Source organism: Homo sapiens, chromosome 2 (genome assembly GCF_000001405.40).
Source record: "Homo sapiens chromosome 2, GRCh38.p14 Primary Assembly".
Classification (NCBI taxonomy): domain Eukaryota; kingdom Metazoa; phylum Chordata; class Mammalia; order Primates; family Hominidae; genus Homo; species Homo sapiens.
In genome coordinates, this window is record NC_000002.12 from 171,342,781 (window position 1) to 171,368,645 (window position 25,865).

General features: G+C 38.3%; 1 protein-coding gene across 11 annotated transcripts in view, besides 1 other annotated feature; it reads right to left on the reverse strand.

The window, feature by feature from the left end:
• METTL8 (methyltransferase 8, tRNA N3-cytidine) overlaps positions 1-25,865 on the reverse strand; it is a 119,027-nt gene that overhangs the window by 27,035 nt on the left and 66,127 nt on the right. For all 11 annotated transcript variants that reach the window (NR_135568.2, NM_001321161.2, NM_001321158.2 and 8 more), the window contains one exon: positions 17,642-17,733. Coding sequence is in view for 10 of the 11 variants with exons in the window: in NM_001321161.2 (NP_001308090.1) it covers positions 17,642-17,733 (92 nt within the window). In the remaining variant the exon portion in view is untranslated. The remainder of the gene's footprint in view (positions 1-17,641; positions 17,734-25,865) is intronic.
• Positions 4,467-4,516: an enhancer, noted in NCBI's record as "active region_16751". NCBI's record gives its function as "activates an Ori minimal core promoter by ATAC-STARR-seq in GM12878 lymphoblastoid cells {active_cell/tissue: GM12878}" and the evidence as "EXISTENCE:reporter gene assay evidence [ECO:0000049][PMID:35858748]".

Here is a 25,865-nt window from a genome sequence, read left to right on the forward strand (position 1 = left end):
AGAATGTACTGTAATACTACTATATCTTGATTAATTTGTGGGAATATTCCTCTAGGAATTAAGTGGGGTGGGGGAAGTACAGGGGAGTAACCTAATAAAAGATGTGCATAGCGGCCAGGCGAGGTGGCTCATGCCTGTAATCCCAACATTGGAAGGCCCAGGCAGGAGGACCACTTGAGGCTAGGAATTCAAGATGAGCCTGGACAACAAAGCAAGACCCTGTCTCTACTTAAAAAAAAAATGTGTGTATAGCAGTTCTATTTATATTAGGAAAAAGTGGGGAAAACTCAAATGCCCAACAACATGGGAATGAGCAAGCAAACCATGCAGTTCAAACAGGGTAACCTTATGTAGCAATTTAAAAATAAAAGATAATAAGCGGGGCATGATGGCTCATGCCTACAATACCGGCACTTTGGGAGGCCAGGGAGGGCAGATCACCTGAGGTCAGGAGCTCGAGACCGGCCTGACCAACATGGAGAAACCCCATCTCTACTAAAACTACAAAATTAGCCGGGTGTGGTGGTACATGCCTGTAATCCCAGCTACTCAGGAGGCTGAGGCAGGAGAATTGCTTGAACCCGGGAGGCGGAGGTTGCGGTGAGCTGCGATCGTGCCATTGCACTCCAGCCTGGGCAACAGGAGTGAAACTCCATCTCAATAAATAAATAAATAAATAAATATAAAAAATAAAATAATAAAGGAAAATAATATTAAGAGAAAATACACAGAATAGTATATACATTGATGGCAGCTCTAAAATTTATTTTATAGTCATTCATAACAATAAGTTGAAAATTTGAAGCAATGATAACAATTTAATCATTATTAGGTAGCTCTTTCTTTTGCAAAGCTGTATCTACTTCTTACACAAAGATTAAAGAATCTTAGCTGAATTCTTCATTCAAATTGCCTACAGAATTTCCTCATTTGATGAAAGGTTTGAATTAGAGTAGTATCTCTAAAGTCTGTTTAAGCTCTAAAAATTCTGTGTACTTTCCTATTAAGCGCCATGAATTTATGGAGAACATTAAACATTATCAGTTCTACAGACTACAAAATCTTGGATCAGATTGCCGTTTTAAACATGAGTCTGTACTACTGTTTTAATTTTTACAATTTAAAGAGAAAATGAATCTGTAGTGACGTGACTGCAATCTGGTTCAGAAACCAAACATGTCAAGCATCTAAATTCAACTCTAGCCTATGTAATATTAGAAGGCAATAGTCAGGGTTTGCTAATATACCTATTTTCAAGCCTTTTCCAACTATTTCCCACTCAGGAATTAGGAGAAAAGAAATCAGATAATTACATAAATTATACCAATAATAGTAGCATTAAAAATGACAAGAATAACACATATTACGTGTTTATTATGGGCTACGCACTATGTCAAATGCTTTACTTGGATTTTTCCCCCATTTAATCCTAGCAGTATCTCTCAGATAGATTTTATTATTCCAATTTGCAGAGAAAGAAATTCAATGTCAGAGGAAATAAAGAATTTCCCCAAGGTCACCCAGCCAGAAAGAACAGAGTCAAGACCTAGCCTAAGTCTGCTAAACTCTAAAGCCCACGCTCTCACCCATTACACTACACTGCCTCCCGAACACAAAGTCAATATGAACCCCCTGAAAATCATCTCTGCTTTTCTGATTCATACTTTCTTCTCAATTATGAAGTATCAAGTTGAAATTAAAACCTCAGTGTGGCTTACAATCAGTGTAACTACATTGTAAAAATAATGCTGATTGGAGTTACCCTTCATTAAGACAGATCAGAAATACATAATTAATTAAACTGCATACTTTAAATTATAAGAAATATAAACCATGCAGTTATATGATGAAATGATGAGCAATAGGAACATTAAATGCTCTATGAGAATATATGGGTTTGTGGGACAGAAACAAAACAGAGAAGCAGCACCAGTGTCTGGAATTTGGCTTTCAGCAGCTTCTCCAATCAATGCTGGCAACTCCATAGTTCCCAGTAATGTGTGAGAGCTTCTGAGACCCCACAGCTTGGTCAATCATCATAATTATGATTATGAGACAACAAACACCTTCAGTGTATGATTTAATTTCCTGAACTGCAAGAGTATCTGTGTTAACAGGGGAATTGGAGGAATTACTGCTCTGACCATGAGTAAAAAATTCAGTATCAAGCTGCTGGTAAGGCAGGTCAGGAATGATAAAATAATATAGCGTGGAGAAATCTGCCCTGTCTTCATCTTGTTTAACTGACTTTCTAAACAGGTGTATTAATGACAAATTTTTCTTGGAGGAAAATTTTTTTTCTTTCCTAGGTTGGTGATTCAGAGTTAACTGCTTTATGCCAGTGGCAGTAAGAGGGATGTAGCGATCTGTTTAACTACAGCCCAATGAAGCAACTTCTCAATTATTCACTTATTAAATTCAATATTGCTGAGGGAAAGAAGGAATATGCACGCTAACCATCCTTAAATATTCAGAATTCATTCTGAATCACACTCAACATCACAACTAAGAAATTGAATTAAACCATTTATGTATGACATATATAATATGATTAATATGAATTATGAAAATTTATTCTAAGTTTCCATGTAATAAAAAGCAATTTAAAGTTATTTTTGCACATCAATTACGCAAATACCTGAGCTCTCAAAGTTGGAAATTTCCACACATCAGTGAGAAAATTCATTGTCTAATAAAAGAAAACTCTTAAAAACTATGAAATTAAAAGTATGTTTCTAAGAGCACTGCATAAAATTTTAAACAAGCAAAGCCAACTTATAAACAAATAACCTAAATTTATAAGCATAAAACTTTTAGCTACTCTCTCTATATATTTTTTTCACATAGAACATTTTCTCAATGGTAAGGTATTCACAAAGTAAAGTATAGTGAGACTCATTCTTTTGCTTGACATAGATAACTTTCCATAGGTAGATAGTTAATTACAGGATATTTTAAAGTAAAAATAGCAGCTGCTTTTGTTATTCCATTTAAAAGACTCATTACATTTGCTAAATAACTGAGATATGACACACTGGAGATGTTTTTTAGGAAATTATAAAATATAATTATGTTAACTCAAAAATTGCCAAATGTATCTTTCATTTCTCTGAATTAACTTGCTTTTAAAATAAATTTGAGCTATAGTAAAATTGAAAATAAATTACAAAAAGGAAATGTGGAATTAAAAATCATTAATCTGGGCAATCTTATTGAAAGAAATGAGGGCCTGGATCTATAGTTTTTTTGTTTTTGTTTTTGTTTTTTGAGACAGGGGCTTACTCTGTGCCCAGCCTGGAGTGCAGTGGTGCAATCACAGCTCAGTGCAGCCTTGACCTCCTGGGCTCAAGTGATCCTCCCATCTCAGCCTCCCAAGTAGCTAGGACTACAAGCACGCACAACCACGCCTGGTTAACTTTTAAATTTTTTGTAGAGATGGGGTCTGACTGTTGCTCAGGCTGGTCTCAAATTCCTGGGCTCAAGAGATCCTTCCACCTTGGCCTCCCAAAGTGTTGGGATTACAGGTGTGAGCCACCACATCCGGTCCCAGATGCCATATACATTTTAATCACAAAAATGAAATGTCAACCATCCTGCAGCAAGACTATTATTTGTGATGCATAATTTCTTACTTTCAGATTGTGAGAGTGTTTCCTGACTTCAGTTCTCACCAACAGCTGAGACAATATGTGAGAAATGGGAAATGGGAGTGACAGGAGAGCCTGAGACACACAGAGACCAAAAGAAATGTGCCAGAGAGTTGGCCAGCATGGGAGAACAACCAGTACTTCCTCCCAGTTGCATTAAAATAAAGTGAGATAAGATCAGTAAACAGTGCTCCTGCTGTATAATAATCTGCATATAGAATACTCTGTGATGGGAGAACACTGGCTCTTTCAAAGATTTAGGACTCTCCTAGATAAGAAAAGATGGTGGTTCACAGAGGCACTTGCCGAAGAGCCAGGTCACTGCTTCCTCTGGGGTCTCAGTGTTTGAAAGTAGAGCTTTTAAACAATCTATTTACCTTGACCCATATTCATCAGAGACATTAAATATCAAACCTGAAGCCTCACCCAGGGTGCTGCAGACTGGCACGTCTGTGATCCCTACAGAAATTGCGCTGGATGGCTCTCACTGTAACGTCCTGCCACTCAACATGGTTCCTCAGAACAAAAGTATTCTTCCTTTACCACCCTCCGGGTAGCCTCAGTTATTGCTCTGTGTGCCCTTGCTTACGTGTGATAAGATGGTCACCCCCATAATGTGTTCCTTCTCCCTGCAGTGGTCCCCTGACAGGTATAAAGCCCATCACACTGAAGTGTTACAGAGGGGATGCAGAAGGGACCTAGCAGAAGCCTTTATCTCTTTGAGTCATTTTGAAATGGAATTTTTTGTTCTGTGTCTCTGCAGCAGTCAGAAAACTTGCACAGAAAGAGACTGGACATACTAATAAGCAAATCAAATGCTTCAAAGTGGTATCATCAACCCTCTCCTGCCTGCCTTTCCTGCTTCTACAGAGAGAGGCCAGTCACCACCTTTCTATTTCAGTCACACTACGTACGGTTCTATGGGAACTGTCATTTTCCTTTACTGCGGTTTCCAAGGCCCTAAAATAACCTTCTCATTAGCTTCACCAAGTTCATTGTTAACATAAATAGGACAAAATAGGCAGCCACATACAAACGACTTTAAGGGAACACTATCAGCACTGCTCATCTATTTATGTTCTAAATGGAAATATTCAAAATAGGGCAAAAAAATCCTTGGTTTTTCATATTATCAGGAAATATATTGTGGATAATTTTTAACTTCCTGGAAATGAATTAAGATGGCTGACAACTTTTAATTCAGTTTAGGCTTGACTCTGTCTGTCACATCCAGGTGGCCACCAGCAGAAGCTTGAGTAATGTGGAAAATATGTCTGTGCAGCTGCTGGCAAAGAAGCACAGTTATACTTCTTCAGAAACAGTGTGACAGAGTTCCTGCAAAGGAATGCAATATTGGCTGATTTGTAAGCAGTACTGCCACTGGTATGCACCCTCGAATCCAACCCTAATACTCTCTGGCCATATTCCCCTCAAAGACTTCGTGGTTGAAGCTCATAAAAATAGAATGATGTCATTGTGGATCAGGTGCTCTTCATTTCTGTCCACTCTCCAGGATACAATAAGGAGCTTAGGAGGAGGATGGAGAACTGGCTCTACGGAATAGCAAGTGATACCAGAAGATAAGATAGGTAGGCACTGCCCTCTTCACTAGGTAAGGGCAGCTAATGAGGGCAGTCTCATTAGCTTAGGCTCCCCAACTACTGTTGCTTCAAACTTTGGCCTCAATTTGTAGACTAAAGTCACCAGAACAATAGTTAACTACCAGTGGGATTAGTGATCTTCCTTATACTTGGTTTACACAGAGGAATGCTAACATCTTTCCCTGGGGAGTTCCAGGACAGCTGATCAATCTAGAAACAAAATTCAATCTCAGGGGTTGGAAACCTTTTTCTGTAATGGGCCAGATAGTATTTTAGTCTCTGTGGGCCAGCTGCAGCAGTCTTTGTTGCAACTACTCAACACTGTGACTATAGCTCAAAAGTGACCATAGACAGTATGTCAACAAATGAGTGTGTCTGTGTTCCAATAAACTTTATTCACAAAAACAGGCAGCAGGCTGGATTTCGACCATAGACTAGTTTGCTGACCCTTGCTTCATCTAACGGTTACACTGATGTTGCCACAAGAGTGACCAAAAAATGATAACCAGAACCAAGTTGTTCTGGCAAAACTAATCTATTGTATTAGAAGCCAGAATAGTGGCTCTTATGGGCCACTATTTGTGGGATTAGTGGGGTCAGGGATCAGGGGGAGTACTGTAATTGGGAAGAAGCACATGGAAGCTTCTGGATTAATAGTAATATTCTGTTTCTTGATATGGTTGATGTTTACATAGGTGTGTTAACTTCGTGAAAATTCATTGAACTATGCGAGAATTCATTGATGAGTTGTATAAATTTCTGTGTCTATTTTATAAACTATTTTTAAAAAGAAAAAAAAAGAACCAACATGTTCTAAGGGAGAAATCATTTTAAGAAAAATAAGGCAGAAAGTCCTATAGAGAGAATATAAGAGTTGGGTAAAGTGTCTGTGGGTTCCCAGCTGTGCAATGAGGATGATGCAGGCCAAGTTCTTTTGTTTGTAGTGTGCTTTTTAAAAAAATTGTGATTACAAACCACATAATGTAAAATTTAACATCTTAACTATTTTAAAATGTATAGTTCAGTACTGTTGAGTATATTCATATTGTTGTGAAACAGACCTCCAGGATGTTTTTATCTTGCTAAACTATTAACTACATACCAATTAAATGACAACTCCCCCTTTTATGAAATAACATGAGGTTAAAAAAGTAGATCCCCAAATTATATATGTATTATAATTACAACTGCTTAAAATTATATACACATTGGGTAAAAGTTCTAAATGATGAGCTAAAAACAATTATGTTAGAACAGTAGGATTAAGAGGCAATTGTCCTAAATTTTCTTAATATTTCCCCCATTTCCCGAGCCCTTGGCAACCACCATTTTTCGTTCTATGAATCTGACTACTTTAGATGTCTCAAATAAGTGGAATCATACAGTATCTGTCTTTTTGTGGTGGCTTATTTCACTTAGCATCACGTCCTCAAGGTCCATCCATGTTGTAGTATGTGACAGGATTTCTTTCCTTTTTAAGCCAGAACACGATTCCATTTTATGTATATACCACATTTGTTTTAACCATTCATCTGATGATGGGCATTTTAGGGTACTTCCACCTTTTGCCTATTGTGAATAGTGCTGCTATGAACATAGGTGTGCAAATGTCTCTTTGAGACTTTGCTTTCAAATCTTTTGCATATAACCCAGAGGTGGGATTGCTGGGTCATATGGCAGTTCTATTTTTTATTTTTTTAGGAACTTCCATACTGTTTTCCATAGTAGCCACACCATTTTACAATCTTACCAACAATACACAAGGGCTCCAATTTCTCCAAAGCCTTGTCAATGCCTGTCATTGTCAGGTTTATAAAACATTTATTTATTTTTATTGATATATAATAGATATAAATATTTTCAGAGTACATGTGATAATTTAATACCTTCTAATCAGTGTAACTGGTATATCCATCAACCTAAATATTTGTCTTTTCTTTTATTATTGTTATACTTTAAGTTCTAAGGTACATGTGCACAACATGCAAGTTTGTTACACATGTATACTTGTGCCATGTTGGTGTGCTGCACCCATTAACTCGTCATTTACATTAGGTATATCTCCTAATGCTATCCCTCCCCACTCCCGCCACCCCACAATAGGCCCCAGTGTGTGATGTTCCCCATCCTGTGTCCAAGTGTTCCCATTGTTCAATTCCCACCTATGAGTGAGAATATGTGGTGTTTGCTTTTCTGTCCTCGCGACAGTTTGCTCAGAATGATGGTTTCCAGCTTCATCCACGTCCCTACAAAGGACATGAACTCATCCTTTTTTATAGCTGCATAGTATTCCACGGTGTATATGTGCCACATTTTCTTCATCCAGTCTATCACTGATGGACATTTGGGTTGGTTCTAAGTCTTTGCTACTGTGAATAGTGCCACAATAAACATACGTGTGCATGTGTCTTTATAGCAGCATGATTTATAATCCTTTGGGTATATACCCAGTAATGGGATGACTGGGTCAAATGATATTTCTAGTTCTAGATCCTTGAGGAATCGCCACACTATCTTCCACAATGGTTGAACTAGTTTACAGTCCCACCGACAGTTTAAAAGTGTTCCTATTTCTCCACATCCTCTCCAGCACCTGCTGTTTCCTGACTTTTTAATGATTGCCATTCTAACTGGTGTGAGATGGTATCTCATTGTGGTTTTGATTTGCATTTCCCTGACGGCCAGTGATGATGAGCATTTTTTCATATGTCTGTTGGCTACATAAATGTCTTCTTTTGAGAAGTGTCTATTCATATCCTTTGCCCACTTTTTGATGGGGTTGTTTGATTTTTTCTTGTAAATTTGTTTAAGTTCTTCACAGATTCTGGATATTAGCCCTTTGTCAGATGGGTAGATTGCAAAAATTTTCTCCCATTCTGTAGGTTGCCTGTTCACTCTGATGGTAGTTTCTTTTGCTGTGCAGAAGCTCTTTAGTTTAATTAGATCACATTTGTCAACTTTGGCTTTTGTTGTCATTGCTTTTGGTGTTTTAGACATGAAGTCCTTGCCCATGCCTATGTCCTGAATGGTATTGCCTAGGTTTTCTTCTAGGGTTTTTATGGTTTTAGGACTAACATTTAAGTCTTTAATCCATCTTGAATTAATTTTTGTATAAGGTATAAGGAAGGGATCCAGTTCCAGCTTTCTAATATGGCTAGCCAGTTTTCCCAGCACCATTTATTAAATAGGGAATCCTTTCCCCATTTCTTGTTTTTGTCAGGTTTGTCAAAGATCAGATGGTTATAGATGTGTGGTATTATTTCTGAGGGCTCTGTTCTGTTCCATTGGTCTATATCTCTGTTTTGGTACCAGTACCATGCTGTTTTGGTTACTGTAGGCTTGTAGTATAGTTTGAAGTCAGGTAGCGTGATGCCTCCAGGTTTGCTCTTTTTGCTTAGGATTGACTTGGCAATGTGGGCTCTTTTTTGTTTCCATATGAACTTTCAAGTAGTTTTTTCCAATTCTGTGAAGAAAGTCATTGGCAGCTTGATGGGGATGGCATTGAATCTATAAATTACCTTGGGCAGTATGGCCATTTTCATGCTATTGATTCTTCCTATCCATGAGCATGGAATGTTCTTCCATTTGTTTGTGTCCTCTTTTATTTTGTTGAGCAGTGGTTGGTAGTTCTCCTTGAAGAGGTCCTTCACATCCCTTGTAATTTGGATTCCTAGGTATTTTATTCTCTTTGAAGCAATTGTGAATGGGAGTTCACTCATGATTTGGCTCTCTGTTTGTCTGTTATTGGTGTATAGGAATGCTTGTGATTTTTGCACATTGATTTTGTATCCTGAGACTTTGCTGATGTTGCTTATCAGCTTAAGGAGATTTTGGGCTGAGACAATGGGGTTTTCTAAATATACAATCATGTCATCTGCAAATAGGGAAAATTTGACTTTCTCTTTTCCTAATTGAATTCCCTTTCTTTCTCTTGCCTGATTGCCCTGGCCAGAACTTCCAACACTATGTTGAGTAAGAGTGGTGAGAGAGGACATCCCTGTTTTGTGCCAGTTTTCAAAGGGAATGCTTCCAGTTTCTGCCCGTACGTATGATATTGACTGTGAGTTTGTCATAAATAGCTCTTATTATTTTGAGATATGTCCCATCAATACCTAATTTATTGAGAGTTGTTTTAGCAAGAAGGGCTGTTGAATTTTGTTGAAGGCCTTTTCTGCATCCATTGAGATAATCATGTGGTTTTTATCTTTCCTTCTGTTAATATGTTGGATTACGTTTATGGATTTGTGTATGTTGAACCAGCCTTGCATCCCAGGGATGAAGCCCATTTGGTCATGGTGGATAAGCTTTTTGATGTGCTCCTGGATTCAGTTTGCCAGTATTTTATTTAGGATTTTCACATCAATGTTCATCAGGGATCAGGGATATTGGTCTAAAATTCTCTTTTTTTGTTGTGTCTCTGCCAGGCTTTGGTATCAGGATGATGCTGGCCTCATAAAATGAGTTAGGGAGGATTCCCTCTTTTTCTATTGATTGGAATAGTTTCAGAAGGAATGGTACCAGCTCCTCCTTGTACCTCTGGTAGAATTCGGCTGTGAATCCATCTGGTCCTGGACTTTTTTTGGTTGGTAGGCTCTTAATTATTGCCTCAATTTCAGAACCTGTTATTGGTCTATTCAGGGATTCAACTTCTTCCTGGTTTAGTCTTGAGAGGGTATAAGTGTCCAGGAATTTATCCATTTCTTCTAGATTTTCTAGTTTATTTGCATAGAGGTGTTTACAGTATACTCTGATGGTAGTTTGTATTTCTGTGGGATCAGTGGTGATATCCCCTTTATCATTTTTTATTGCATCTGTTTGATTCTTCTCTCTTTTCTTCTTTATTAGTCTTGCTAGCGGTCTATCAATTTTGTTGATCTTTTCAAAAAACCAGCTCCTGGATTCATTGATTTTTTGAAGGGTTTTTTGTGTCTCTATCTCCTTCAGTTCTGCTCTGATCTTAGTTATTTCTTGCCTTCTGCTAGCTTTTGAATGTGTTTGCTCTTGCTTCTCTAGTTCTTTTAATTGTGATGTTAGGGTGTCAATTTTAGATCTTTCCTGCTTTCTCTTGTGGGCCTTTAGTGCTATAAATTTCCCTCTACACACTGCTTTAAATGTGTCCCAGAGATTCTGGTATGTTGTATCTTTGTTCTCATTGGTTTCAAAGAACATCTTTATTTCTGCCTTCATTTCATTATGTACCCAGTAGTCACTCAGGAGCAGCTTGTGCAGTTTCCGTGTAGTTGGGTGGTTTGGGTGAGTTTCTTAATCCTGAGTTCTAGTTTGATTGCACTGTGGTCTGAGCGACTGTTTGTTATAATTTCTGTTCTTTTACATTTGCCGAGGAGTGCTTTACTTCTAACTATGTGGTCAATTTTGGAATAAGTGTGATGTGGTGCTGAGAAGAATGTATGTTCTGTTGATCTGGGGTGGAGAGTTCTGTAGATGTCTATTAGGTCCACTTGCTGCAGAGCTGAGTTCAATTTCTGGATATCGTTGTTAACTTTCTGTCTCATTGATCTGTCTAATGTTGACAGTGGGGTGTTAAAGTCTTCCATTATTACTGTGTGGGAGTCTCTTTGTAGGTCTCTAAGGACTTGCTTTATGAATTTGGGTGCTCCTGTATTGGGTGCATATATATTCAGGATAGTTAGCTCTTCTTGTTGAATTGATCCCTTTACCATCATGTAATGGCCTTTGTCTCTTCTGATCTTTGTTGGTTTAAAGTCTGTTTTATCAGAGACTAGGATTGCAACCCCTGCTTTTTTTTGTTTTCCATTTGCTTGGTAGATCTTCCTCCATCCCTTTATTTTGAGCCTATGTGTGTCTCTGCACATGAGATGGGTCTCCTGAATACAGCACACTGATGGGTCTTGACTCTGTATCCAATTTGCCAGTCTGTGTCTTTTAATTGGAGCATTTAGCCCATTTACATTTAAGGTTAATATTGTTATGTGTGAATTTGATCCTGTCATTATGATGTTAGCTGGTTATTTTGCCCGTTAGTTGATGCAGTTTCTTCCTAGCATCGATGGTCTTTACAATTTGGCATGTTTTTCAATGGCTGGTACCGGTTGTTCCTTTCCATGTTTAGTGCTTCCTTCAGGAGCTCTTGTAGGGCAGGCCTGGTGGTGACAAAATCTCTCAGCATTTGCTTGTCTGTAAAGGATTTTATTTCTCCTTCACTTATGAAGCTTAGTTTGGCTGGATATGAAATTCTGAGTTGAAAGTTCTTTTCTTTAAGAATGTTGAATATCGGCCCCCACTCTCTTCTGACTTGTAGAGTTTCTGCCGAGAGATCCGCTGTTAGTCTGATGGGTTACCCTTTGTAGGTAACCTGACCTTTCTCTCTGGCTGCCCTTAACATTTTTTCTTTCATTTCAACCTTGGTGAATCTGACAATTATGTGTCTTGGAGTTGCTCTTCTCGAGGAGTATCTTTGTGGCGTTCTCTGTATTTCCTGAATTTGAATGTTGGCCTGCCTTGCTAGGTTGGGGAAGTTCTCCTGGATAATATCCTGAAGAGTGTTTTCCAACTTGGTTCCATTCTCCCTGTCACTTTCAGGTACACCAATCAGACGTAGATTTGGTCTTTTCACATAGTCCCATATTACTTGGAGGCTTTGTTCGTTTCTTTTTACTCTTTTTTCTCTAAACTTCTCTTTTCGCTTCATTTCATTCATTTGATCTTCAATCACTGATACCCTTTCTTCCACTTGATCAAATCGGCTACTGAAGCTTGTACATGCGTCACATAGTTCTCGTGCCATGGTTTTCAGCTCCATCAGGTCTTTTAAGGACTTCTCTACGCTGTTTATTCTAGTTAGCCATTTGTCTAATTTTTTTTTCAAGGTTTTTAGTTTCTTTGCAATGGGCTCGAACATCCTCCTTTAGCTCAGAGAAGTTTGTTATTACCGATCGTCTGAAGCCTTCTTCTCTCAACTTGTCAAAGTCTTTCTCCATCCAGCTTTGTTCCATTGCTGGCGAGGAACCGCGTTCCTTTGGAGGAGAAGAGGCGCTCTGATTTTTAGGATTTTCAGCTTTTCTGCTCTGGTTTCTTCCCATCTTTGTGGTTTTATCTACCTTTGGTCTTCGATCATGGTGACGTACAGATGGGGTTTTGGTGTGGATGTCCTTTCTGTTTGTTAGTTTTCCTTCTAACAGTCAGGACCCTCAGCTGCAGGTCTGTTGGAATTTGCTGGAGGTCCACTCCGGACCCTGTTAACCTAGGTATCACCAGTGGAGGCTGCAGAACAGCAAATATTGCAGAACGGCAAATGCTGCTGTCTGATCGTTCCTCTGGAAGCTTCGTCTCAGAGGGGTACCTGTCCGTATGAGGTGTCAGTCAGCCCCTACTGGGAGGTGCCTCCCAGTTAGGCTACTTGGGGGTCAGGGACTCACTTGAGGAGGCAGTCTGTCCCTCTCAGATCTCAAACTCTGTGCTGGGAGAACCACTACTCTCTTCAAAGCTGTCAGACAGCGACGATTAAGTCTGCAGAAGCTTCTGCTTCCTTTTGTTCAGCTATGCCCTGCCCCCAGAGGTGGAGTCTACAGAGGCAGGCAGGCCTCCTTGAGCTGTGGTGGGCTACACCCAGTTCGAGCTTCCCGGCCGCTTTGTTTACCTACTCAAGCCTCAGCAATGGCAGGCGCCCCTCCCCCAGCCTCGCTGCCACCTTGCAGTTCGATCTCAGACTGCTGTGCTAGCAATGAGCGAGGCTCCGTGGGCGTGGGACCCTCCAAGCCAGGCATTTGATATAATCTCCTGGTGCGCCGTTTGCTAAGACCGTTGGAAAAGCGCAGTATTAGGGAGGGAGTGACCTGATTTTCCAGGTGCCGTCTGTCACCACTTCCTTTGGCTAGGAAAGGGAATTCCCGGAACCCTTGCGCTTCCCGGGTGAGGTGATGCCTTGCCCTGCTTTGGCTCATGCTCCGTGGGCTGCATCCACTGTCCTGCACCCACTGTCCGACAAGCCCCAGTGAGATGAACCCAGTACCTCAGTTGGAAATGCAGAAATCACCCGTCTTCTGCATCGCTCATGCTGGGAGCTGTAGACTGGAGCTGTTCCTATTTGGCCATCTTGGAACCACACCTTTTTGTCTTTTCTTCATGCTAGAAACATTTATTCTCTTCCAGCTATTTTTTTTTGAGATGGTCACCCAGGCTGAAGTGCAATGGCATGATCTTGACTCACTGCAACCTCTGCTTCCTGGGTTCAAGCTATTCTCCTGCCTCAGCTCCCGAATAGCTAGGACTACAGGTGTGTGCCACCAGACCCGGCTAATTTTATATTTTTGGTAGAGATAGGGTTTCACCATGTTGGCCAGGCTGGTCTTGAACTCCTGACCTCAGGTGATCCACCCACCTTGGGCTCCCAAAGTGCTGGGATTATAGGCTTGAGCCATCTTGTCCGGCCTCTTCTAGCTATTTTGAAATGTTCAGTAGATTATTGTGAACTAGTCACCCTACTGATCTATATTGAACATGAGGTCTTAACCCTTCTAACTGTATATTTGTACCCATTAATCAATCTCTCTTCACCCCCCACCCCTTCCTGGCCCCTGGTAATTACCAATCTATTCTCTATTTTCATAAAATCCACTGTTTTAGCTCCCACATATGGATGAGAACATGCAGTATTTGTCTTTCTGTGCTTGACTTATTTAACTTAAGGACCTCCATTTCCTCCATGTTGCTGCAAATGATAAGATTTCATTCTTTTTTTATGGCAGAATAATATTCCATTGTGTATATATACCACATTTTCTTTATCCATTCATCCATCTGGAACAGGCAAGGATGCCCACTTTTGCCACTTTAATTTTACATAATACTGGAAGTCCTGGCCAGAGACATTAGGCAAGAGAAAGAAATAAAGGGCAGCTAAGTTGGAAAGGAAGAAGTCAAATTAGCCTTGTTCAAAGACAATATTTTTTTTTTTTTTTTTGAGACAGGGTCTTACTCTGTCACCCAGGCTGCAGTGCAGTGGTGCAAAAGTGATCTTGGCTCACTGCAACCTCTGTGTCCTGGGTTCAAGTGATTCTCCCACCTCAGCCTCCTGAGTAGCTGGGACTACAGGGATGCACCACAATTCCCAGCTAATTTTTTGTATTTTTAGTAGAGATAGGGTTTCACCATGTTGGCCAGGCTGGTCTCGAACACCTGGCCTCAAGTGATCTGCCCACCCTGGCCCCCCAAAGTTCTGGGATTACAGGCGTAAGCCCCTGTGCCCAGCCAACAATATGATCTTACACTTAGAAAAACCTAAAGACTCCACCAAAAAACTGTTAGAACTGATACATTTAGTAAAATTGCAGGATACAAAATAAACACACAAAAATCAGTAGCATTTAAATATGCCAACAGTGAACAATCTGAAAAAGAAATCAAGAAAGCAATCCCATTTCCAATAGCTACAAAGAATATAAGATACCTAGAAATCAATTAAATCAGAGATGTGAAAAATCTATACAGGAAAACTATAAAATATTCTTAAAAGAAATTAAAAAGGACATTAAAAAATGGGAAGATATTCCATGCTGATGAGTCCAAATAATTAATATTGTTAAAATGACAATTCTACCCAAAGCAATTTATAGATTCAATGGAATCCCAGTCAAAATACCTATGACATTCTTCACAGAAATAGAGCACAAAATCCTGAAATTTTTCTCTCTCTTTTTTTTTTTTGAGACAGGTTCTCGCTCTGTCACCCAGTCTGGAGTGCAGTGGCACAATTACAGCTTACTGCAGCCTCAAACTCCCGGGTTCAAATGATCCTCTAGCTGCAGCCCCCTGAGTAGCTGGGACTACAGGTGCATGACCACAACACTTGATTAATTTTTGTATTTTTTGTAGAGACAGGTTTTAGCCATATTGCCCAAGTTGGTCTTGAACTCCTGGGCTCAAGCAATCCTCCAGCCTAGGTTTCCCAAAATGCTGGGATTACAAGTGTGAGCCACTTGTGCCTGGCCCCTAAAGTTTTTATAGAACCCCAAAAGATCCAGAATAGCCAAAGCAATCCTGAGGAAAATGAACAAAGCTGAGGCCAGGTGTGGTGGCTCACACCTGTAATCCCAGCACTTTGGGAGGCAGAGGTGGGCGGATCATCTGAGGTCAAGAGTTCAAGACCAGCTTGGCCAACATGACAAAACGCTATCTCTACTAAAAATACAAACATTAGCTGGGTGTGGTGGTGGGCACCTGTAATCCCAGCTAATCAGGAGGCTGAGACAGGAGAATTGCTTGAGCCTGGGAGGCAGAGGTTGCAGTGAGCTGAGATCCTGCCATTGCACTCCAGCCTGGGCAACAGAGCAAAACTCCGTCTCCAGAAAAAAAAAAAAAAAAAGAACAAAGTTGGAGGCATCATACTACCTGACTTCAAAACATACTACAAAGCTACAGCAACCAAATTGGCATGGTACTGGCATAAAAACAGACACATTGACTGATGGAAGAGAATAGAGAACCCAAATATAAATCCATGCATTTACAACCAACTCATTTTTGACAAAGGTGTCAAGTACATATGATGGGGAAAGGACAGTCTCTTCAATAAATGGTGCTGGGATAACTGGAAAACTGTAAGCAGAAGAATGAAACTAGATTCTTATTTACTATATATAAAAATCAAATCAAAATGGACTAAAGACTTAAATCTATGACCTGAAACTATGAAATTACTAGAAGAAAACATTGGGGGAAATGCTCCAGGACATTGGAGCATTTTTATTTGTCTATTTTGTCATTTGTCAAAAGATTTCAAAAGCACAAGCAACCAAAGCGAAAATAGAAAATGGGATTATATCATGCTAACAAGCACCTGTACAGCAAAGAAACAATCAACAAAGTGAAGAGACAACCCACAGAATGGAAGAATATATTTGCAAACTACCCATTTGACAAGGGATTAATAATGGGAATATATTAAGGAGCTCAAACAACTCAATAGGAAGAAAAAGAAAATCAGATTAAAAAATGGGCAAGGTTGGGGCAGTGGCTCACTCCTGTAATACCAGCACTTTGGGAGGATGAGGAGTTTCAGACCACCCTGGGCTGAGGTGGGAGGCTCACCTGAACCCAGTCAGATTAAGCTGCAGTGAGCCATGATCTCATCACTATACTCCAGACTGGGCAACAAGACCCTGTCTCAAAAAAAAAAAAAAAAATGGCAAAAGATCTGAATAGATATTTCTCAAAAGAAGGCATACAAATGGCCAACAGCTATACGAAAAAATGCTCAATATCACTAATCATCAGAGAAATGCAAATCAAAACCACAATGAGATATCATCTCACCTCACCTAACATAGCGTATATCAAAAAGACAGGGAATAATGAATGGATGCTGGTGAGGATGTGAAAAAAGGAGAACCTTCATACACTGTTGGTGGGAATGTAAATTAGTATGACCACTATGGAAAACAGTGTGGAGTTTCCTCAAAGAAGTAAAAATAGAACTACCATATCATCCACCAATGCCACTACTGGGTATTTATCCAAAAGAAAGGACATCAATATATCAAAGAGATAACTGCACTCCCATGTCTACTGCAGCTCTATTCATAGTAGCCATAACATGGAATCAACATTTCCGGTTTTTTTTTTTTTAGACGGAGTCTCGCTCTGTCGCCAGGCTGGAGTACAGTGGTGTGATCTCGGCTCACTGCAACCTCTGCCTCCTGAGTTCAAGCGATTCTCCTGCCTCAGCCTCCTGAGTAGCTGAGACTACAGGCATGTGCCACCACGACCAGCTAATTTTTGTTATTTTTAGTAGAGACAGGTTTTCTCGATCTCTTGACCTTGTGATCTGCCCACCTCGGCCACCCAAAGTGCTGGGATTATAGGTGTGAGCCACCGCGCCGGCTCCTGAGTTTTTTTGATAGTAGCATAGGCCAATTTTTTAAAAGCCATTTATGAAGGTTGGCAAGGCTTTTCTTAAATTAAATATAAAGGCCTTCAAGAAAACTGCCTTCAATCCTTACTGAAACTATATTTATCCTAAAACTTCAGCACCATTTTGATGTGACTTTATCTTCTTTGCTCAAAGTTTATAAATTTGTTCAAAGTTCCTAGGAAGTGAAATGCATAATAGCAAAGTAATAGCAGCATAGCAAGTGGAAAAGTTTAAAATTATGTTTTCATATTTTGTTTGAAATGCCACCCATGTGTGTATCTCCCAGAAAAAGCAATAATATGACTACTCAAAGACCCAATTATAGGGTGAATACAAATTTCATTAACTTTGGTCCCACTACACTGGAAGAACTGGGAATTCTACCAAATGGAACAAGTGGACTGGCATCAGGAGAGGCTAAGAACTCTCAGAAGCAATGACACGAGGAGGAGGAAAAGTCACTAAAGCTCTGGCTCTAGGAGCTACAGCACGCAGTTGACTACCTTGCTCTTCCAGAAGGACTCGCACAGCTGAGTTTTCTTTTACTTTTTTTCTGGCTGCTGCTTCTTCTTCCTTAGACCACTGCATGTGATCCCTATTAAAAAAAAATAGACTGTAAAATATGCTTTATCATTGAAGAAGGCAGAAAAAAGGTGACAAGGAACCACATCTTTCATTCTAGATTAGCTGAAGACATATGATACAGACTAATTCCACATGGAATGAATACATTTTGTGTAAGATGTTCCTACTGATGGCGCTGGTACAACCCTGGAACTCCTAAGATTCTTCTGTTTAAATCTGGTTGTGCTGCAAGCCCCAGCTACCTCTGGGAAACGGCTGCTAAAGTAATGTCCTCAGAACACCCTGGTGTATGACTATTTGGGTGCTGGTATGCCGGTTTTTACTCTAAGGCTAAATTTATTTGCCTTTTTGTTAATTTATGAACAGAACATTCTTCAGTAGTTTTTAAATGCTCCTCTTACAACACTTGTATTCTAACACTTTGCTGTCAAAGAGATGAAAGTTTTAAAATGTTTTGTACTTAGCCTGCAATTTTTAAAGTAACTTTAGATTTATTTTTCTTATTAGCTACTTTAATTTCTGTAAAAGGATTCATTTGCATTTAAGTGATAGAGTACTTGATACAGCATGTGAAAAGGTCACCTTTCTAAGTTCTGGTACTTTCTATAAGTATTTTTAGTTTCAGAATCGACTCTCCCTATATGAGAAGATACTATTTTCTGCTGCACAAAAATGTCTTTCTTGGAATAGAAGCGACAACTGTATACAAGAAAGGTAATTTTTTTTAAGTTTTGTTTTCACAAAGTTTGCTTTTTTTTTTTTGCAATAGGTTAGACTATAAGCAAAGCAATTTCCTGGAATAAACCAGGAATAATTTTTTATCACTAAACAATAAAAAAATTACACACCCCATATTCAAGTTGCATTTAGCCTAGAAGAAAAACCCCTAACACTATTATCATATGATATATGTAGTAGTCACCTGACTGATGAGAAGGGATAAATTATACAATTTTCTTGGAAGTGCATCATGCTGTGACCGACAAACATTGAGCAGTTAGGATGATCATAATTATAATTATAGTAACTGCCATCCTTTATTTATTACATATCAGGTATTGTAATAAGCACATTACATACATATGTCTTATTTAATCCTTTCAAAAATCCTTTGATAGGGTTATAATCATGTCCACTTTGCATAGTGGCTAACAGAAATTTAATAACTTATTCAAGGTCATATAGCCAGGAAGTGGCAGAACCAGAATTCACCTAGGTTTGTGTCACTTCAAAGTCCATCTTCTCAACTATTAGTCTATTATTTTCTACCATGGCAGTGGGGGACACAGAGAGATTTAAGATGTAATGTTTGTCCATCTTGGGTTTATATTCTCCTAGTGCAAGCAGGTAAACAATACGTAAATGATAATACAGTGAAACATGCATGGCTAGCACCTGATGAAGGGGAGTGCAGTCAATTAATGCAGCTGGGGCAAATAGGAAGGCTTAAGAGAAGGTAGGTTTGGGTTCAGGTTAGGAGGAAAAGTGGTGGAGCAAATTCATGTCACTCAGAAGCTGACAATACAGACAGTGCATACAGGGAACAGTTAAAAAACTCCATTTTGACTGGTTCTCTTGGACAACTGCAGATGAAGTTGGGAGCTGGGTAACGGTCAGATTTCAGAGGATCTTAAATGTGGGGCTGAACAGTTAAGTAGTATGCAAGACACAGTGAAGCGGGGAAGGACTGGAGGAAAAGCGACCAATTAGACTGTTGGAGTGGTCTAGGAGTAATGAGTCCCATGACTAAAGTGGTAGCTATGGAGAACAGGAAGGAAAGGGGGAGAGGGAGACACTGAAAACACTGAAATTAAGACCTAGAGATTAACTAGATATTGGAGTAGAAGTGTAAGAGTCATGAATGATTCTAAGGTCTTAAAACTGAGTATCTAGGAAAGTGGGGGTAACAATGACAGAATATGGAGTTACATTGGGTGGAATGATGATAAGCATGGTACTATTTTAAGTATTGCTTATACAATCAGATATGAGAGGGTATATTCCAGTGACCTGGCTATAAATACACCGTTGAAGGTACGAAACTGTTTTCCTTAAAAAAATAAAAATAAATAAATAAATAAATAAATAAATAAATAAATCAAAATTGGTATGCTGCAGTCTCCAGGAAAACTGAATGAGAATGTTTTCAGAGTTTCATAGATAAAAGTTTAACCACCAGTATTTAAATAAAACTGAATCATGTACAAGCCAAATAATCATTAAACAGCTTTGTCTCTTGCTTTAATAAATGAGGTTAGAATAGTTTTTGTTTTGACTTATTTTGACTTACTTTAACATATGTGAGCAATCACATATAAATTGGGGCTGGCAACTACACTTTAAATTCTGTATATATTAAATATACTATATTGAATACAATTACGTGACAGTTGTGAAATTAAAGGCAACAAGTTATTTATTGAAAAAACAGTATTTCTAAGGCTAGGGATGAGTTTTTCATCTACAAATTTCTACCACTTATAGGAAAGAAAATAGAACAATCTATTTCCCTGGGAAGAATCAAGCTGTGAGACAGTAAGAGTATATGTGGTCTTCCGCTTTAAGCATTTAAGCTTTTAGTTTAACTTGCTATTTCTTATTTAATAGATTTAGTTATTTCTTAACTGTAACTTCCTTACACTGTTCTTTATGTTACTTCATTTTCTTAACTGCTAAGTGAGGGGAATAGTATATCCTAAGTTCCTGCAGAACAGATTTTTTTTTTTTTTACACCACAGTTACAGAATCCCCACAGAAACCTATAAAATGTTCCTACTGTATTTATGGGGACTTCCTCCAGCCCTGCTGCTTTATGGCAGTTCTTTATTTTAGAAGAACTGGATTCACGTATCCCAAAACCCAACAGCTGACAATAAGAATCATACAACTTTTTATTAGTAATAAATACAACTATAGAATTTAAGCATAGAAACAAATAATAAACAAACTGGAAATAATCAAGTATTTAACAGTAATAAAAACCAAAGGAAAAAAGTGGTTTATAGAGTTTGGCCAATAAATTGTACTTCTGGGAACTTACTGAAACGAAGTAACTTGAAAGAACTAAGAAATTCTGTACAGGGAAATATTTGTATGAAGATATTCACTGGAACACTAAATATAATATTAATAGCAAAAAATTAGAAACAACTTCAGTGATAGGGGAATGAAAAAATTATAGTAAATCAAAGGAATATTATGCAGACATTAAGATAATAAATATGACTATTACATGACAATATGGAAAAGTATTTATAAAATGAGGTTAAAAAAGTACATCCCCAAATTTTATATATATATATATATATATATCTTTTTTTTTTTTTTGAGATGGAGTCTCGCTGTGTTCCCCAGGCTGGAGTGCAGTGGCACAATCTTGGCTCACTGCAACCTCCACCTCCCGTGTTCAAGCAATTCTCCTGCCTCAGCCTCCTGAGTAGCTGGGATTATAGGCATGTGCCACCATACCCGGCTAATTTTTTTATTTTTAGTAGAGATGGGGTTTCACCATGTTGGCCAGGCTGGTCTCCAACTCCTGACCTCAGGTGATTTGCCCGCCTCAGCCTCCCAAAGTGCTAGGATTACAAGCGCGAGCCACTGCGCGCCCGGCCAAATTATATATGTATTATAATTACAACTGTTTAAAATTATATACACACAGGGTGAAGATTCTAAGTGGTGAACTAAAACCAATTATGTTTGAATAGGAGTAAGAACAAACTATCTTAAATTTCCTTAATATCGTAAAGCAGCTTCAACTAGAGATAATTTTTTAAAAACTATATGTAAAACCTGTACTCTATGTTTAAGACATACAACAATTGTCTTTAAAACTTTACCCTTCTTGAGGAAAAAGCCATCAACCCTTATAATAAGAAGGAAGTTATGTTTTCTTAAAAAAGGAAAGACATAAAAAAGAAACTTGGGCAGAAAGTACAAAATATACTTTTCACAAAAATTTGAATTTGAGAAAAAAACCTCAAAAATAGAAGATTTTTGAGTAAAACAAATTTTTACATGCCCTATAATTTGTTTGTATACATAGTTTATATATATTTCTTATTCCTTCCATATCTATAGTACAATTGAATAATGTTTCCTTGATTTAGCTTTTAGTTGATGGCAATGTGTAATCTAAATAATTGTGTATTTGGTTTGATTTGGAAAAGTTAAAACACACACACACACACCCCAATTATTTAAGTTGGATACTAAAGTTTTTGATAATCTTACCTAGAGAAACTTCTGCTGAATGTAGTGTTGCTTCCTGTTACAACTTTTAATAATCAGATATAAACCAAAGTACCCAATATAAACTATTTTCCTATCTTTGTCATTTACTATGTATGTGATGGCCTCACTATAGGACACAATTTTGTTCTATAAGTCAATGATATTTGACAAATTTGACAAATGTATTAGATGACTAGGGAATTAAAAAGAAAATATTTATTCTTAGGTTAAAGGAAAAAATAGTTTATTACTTTCAGCCTAAAACGATTTCAATAATTCTTAATTCTATAACAAAGTGTGGGGAAGAGAGTTTCTGGGATGCCAGATGAGTTGGTCTCCCCTGTGTGAGACACCCATGGGGAGCCATGGGCGGCATCTGAGGAGAAAAGTCTCCTTATTGCCTTCCTGTCTTTATGCCCCAAGAGCATAACAGCTCCACGGCATTCCACAGGTTGCTCGGGGAAATAATACTCCTTTGAAGCAGTGGAGTATAATCAAACATCTTGGCTTCTCCTGAAACCCACTCCCACTCATTTTAGTCCCGATAAGTTAAAGATCTTAAGTAGTATAGAGACTACTTTGCTCCAGGAAATTCACAGAAACTGCCAATGCTATACATCTTATTAAATGACTCATGAGTTCTCCTTCACTGATTAATCCTCTTCCTCATCCGTTCCTACCCCTCCCATTTGCCCTAAGAACGAAGAGCTTGTAAACCAATAAATTGGGTGGAGGCCGAGAGCTCAGGGCCGTGAGCAAGCCTCTGATGCTCTGGTCCCCTGGACCCGCCTTTTAAACTCTTATTCAGTTTCTTTCTAATTCCTTTGTCTCCACTGGAATCTGGGTACCCGCCAGGTGGTATGGGGCTGGTTTCTCCAACACAAAGTCATATTTATTACATAGTTACAAACAAACACACACATTTTTCTATATACTACAAAATCTTCAACATAATTATGACTTAAAACTCTGGTATAGGACTTATGATTTTGGCCATGACAGAGTACCTGGCAATGGACTTACCCTCCTGCCACAAATAATTATAAACTGGATAAAATATATAAAGCAACTGCTTTTAAACACTGGACTACACTTCAGACAGTGCAAGACTGATCCTTAAGAGAAGAAAAACACAAAAGGTGAGTCCCCACATCCACCTGTTCTGTCTGGGGACACATTCTAGACTGTGGTGCAGAGAGGCTGTCTCACTGAGTGGCAGTTTCATGAGTTGAGAAGGCAGAGATCAGAGTTCAGAGTTGCAGAGGTGGTGAGGGTTTGTGCAACAGGATACTAAAGGGGAGATGGACAGACAAGAGGGCCCCTGAAGTCTACAAGAGTTCTCCTAAGGTTTTCAGCTAGTGCTAGCTGCTCATCTACAGGCAGAGTCGCCACAGGATCTAGTAGAAGAGAGAGGATTCTAGGAATGAGGATGGAGAAGAGAGAACTGACAAGATAGGTAGTACAGTGCTTGGTGACATTGGAGTTCTGGCTAAGCCACAGTGGAAAGATCTATCTGAGCATCTTGAGTATTTAGTTAAGACCCTAGAAATCCCATGCCATAGGAACAAGAACCACACTAGACTCAGGATATTATCAAAATAGTCCCACCCAAACAACACCTAAAATCAAACCTGATCCAAGAAGGAACTGGCAGAAATTTAACCACTTGCCAGAAAAAACTCGACATCTTTAAAGGAAGGCAACATAATCCAGACTGCATAGAAGATATTATCCATAATGTCCACCATATAATCAAAAACTATTAGACATGCAAATCAAGAGAAAAGTCAGTCAATAAATATAGACTTTGAGAAAACCAAATATTGGAATTAGTACACAAGGACTTTAAAACAGTATTGAAAAATATGTTGAAAGATTTAAAGAAAAAGATGGACAGAATGAATGCACAGATGGAAGAAATCTCAGAAAAAAATGAAAACTTCTTTTTAAAAAAGGAAATTCTAGAACAAACCCATATACACTATCTGAAATAAAGAGTTGAGTAGGCTCAGGTGGGCATGGTAGCTCACACCTGTAATCCCAGCACTTTGGGAGGCTGAAGTAGAAGAATCGCTTGAGTACGGGAAGTTGAGGTTACAGTGAGCCATAATCACACCACTCCAGCCTGGGTGACAGAGTGAGACCCTGTCTCAAAAAAAAAAAAAAAAAAAACTGGGAGGGTTAACAGCTGACAGACACTGGAGAGAATGGGTCAGTAAACTTAATGACAGATGTAGAAATTATTCAGATTGAAGACCAGAGACACAAAGATTGAAAAAAAGTGTGAGTCTCAGTAACCTGTGGGATAATACCAATTGGTCTAACAAACACATAAATTGAAAGCCCAGAAGTAGAAAAGAGAGACAAAATGAGTTAAAAATAATAATAAAGAAATACTAAAATTTTTCCAAATTTGAAGATAAAAAGAAGAAAGAAGAAAAAGAAATACTCAATAGATCCAGGCAGGAAACACAGCAAACCCCAGGCAATATAAATACAGAGAAAACTGATAAAAATCAAAGATAAAGATAAATTTGAAAAGTAGCTACCATATACAGTGGGAAAAGAAATGCAAACTACAGCTGATTTCTCATCAGAAACAATCATAATGAAGGCAAGAAGATAAAGCAAGGAGATCTTATGTCAGCATAGGGGGATGGGAGGGATGTGTCAACCTTGAATTTCACATGCAGTAAAAAGATCTTTCAAATTTGTAAAATAAAGACATTTTCAGATAAACAAAATTTGAGAGAATTTGTTACCAGCAGAATTTGCACTACAAGAAATGTTAAAGATCTTCAGGTTAAAGGAAAAGGGGACCACACGGAGTCTCAGATCTACAGGGTGAAAAAAAGAGACCAGAAGTGGTAAATATGTGGGTAATTATAAAATAATCTTTTTAAAAACTTTAAATTTATTTTAAAAAACTCAACTAACTATATATAGCAAAAGTAAAAACAATGATTATAGCATTTACATATAGAGGTAAACTGTATGACAACAATATCACAAATGTTGGAGGGATGACAAGTAGAAACATATTGTTGTAAGGTTCTTAATTTTATGCTAGGTGGCACAACATTAATTCTAAGTAGACTATACTAAGTTGACAAAGCACATTGTAATGTCTAGAGCTGTGGTTCTCAAACTGTCGTCCACCCTTTGAGGTGGACCACTAAATCGAAACTATTCTCATAACAATACTGTGTTTTGCTCTTTCACTGTGTTGACATTTGCAGTGATGGTATAAAAACAATGAGGGGTAAAACTACAACTGCCTTGGAATGAAAGAAGGCAGTGGCACCAAAATGTGTTAATTGTCATATTCTCTGCCACCATCCAGTGAGCAGCAAAGAATATAACAATTTTTACAAAAATGAAACAATTAAAAAATTTTCAATTTTGCTGATTGATGAAGCAGTAAAAACTATTAATTTTATGAAATATTGACCCTTGGGTACAAATCTTTTTAACAGTCTATGTGACAAGATGGAAAGCATGCACTTCTTACTGAAGTACAATGGATGGCTTGACTGAGGAAAAGTACTCATATGAACTGTGAGCTGAACTAGCTGCTTTTTTCATGGAATGCTATTTTTACTTGAAAGAGCAACTACTGATAAAGCTATAGTTATTTAGACTTGGGTATGTGGCATATAGTTTCTCAAAAGTAAACAAAATGAGCCTATCACATTAAGAAAAACAAATTACAGTATGTGTTTGCAAAAATAAATTTTGTGCTTCCAAGCAAAAATTAGACTTCTGGAAAGCTTGTGTCCACCACCATGAGTTTGATAGGTTCCCAATACAGATTTTCCTGATGAGACTGGTGGTGATATTAACAAATGTGATTTTTAAATATTTTATAATAAAATGTGTCAACATTTAGAAGATCTACATCAAACAGGG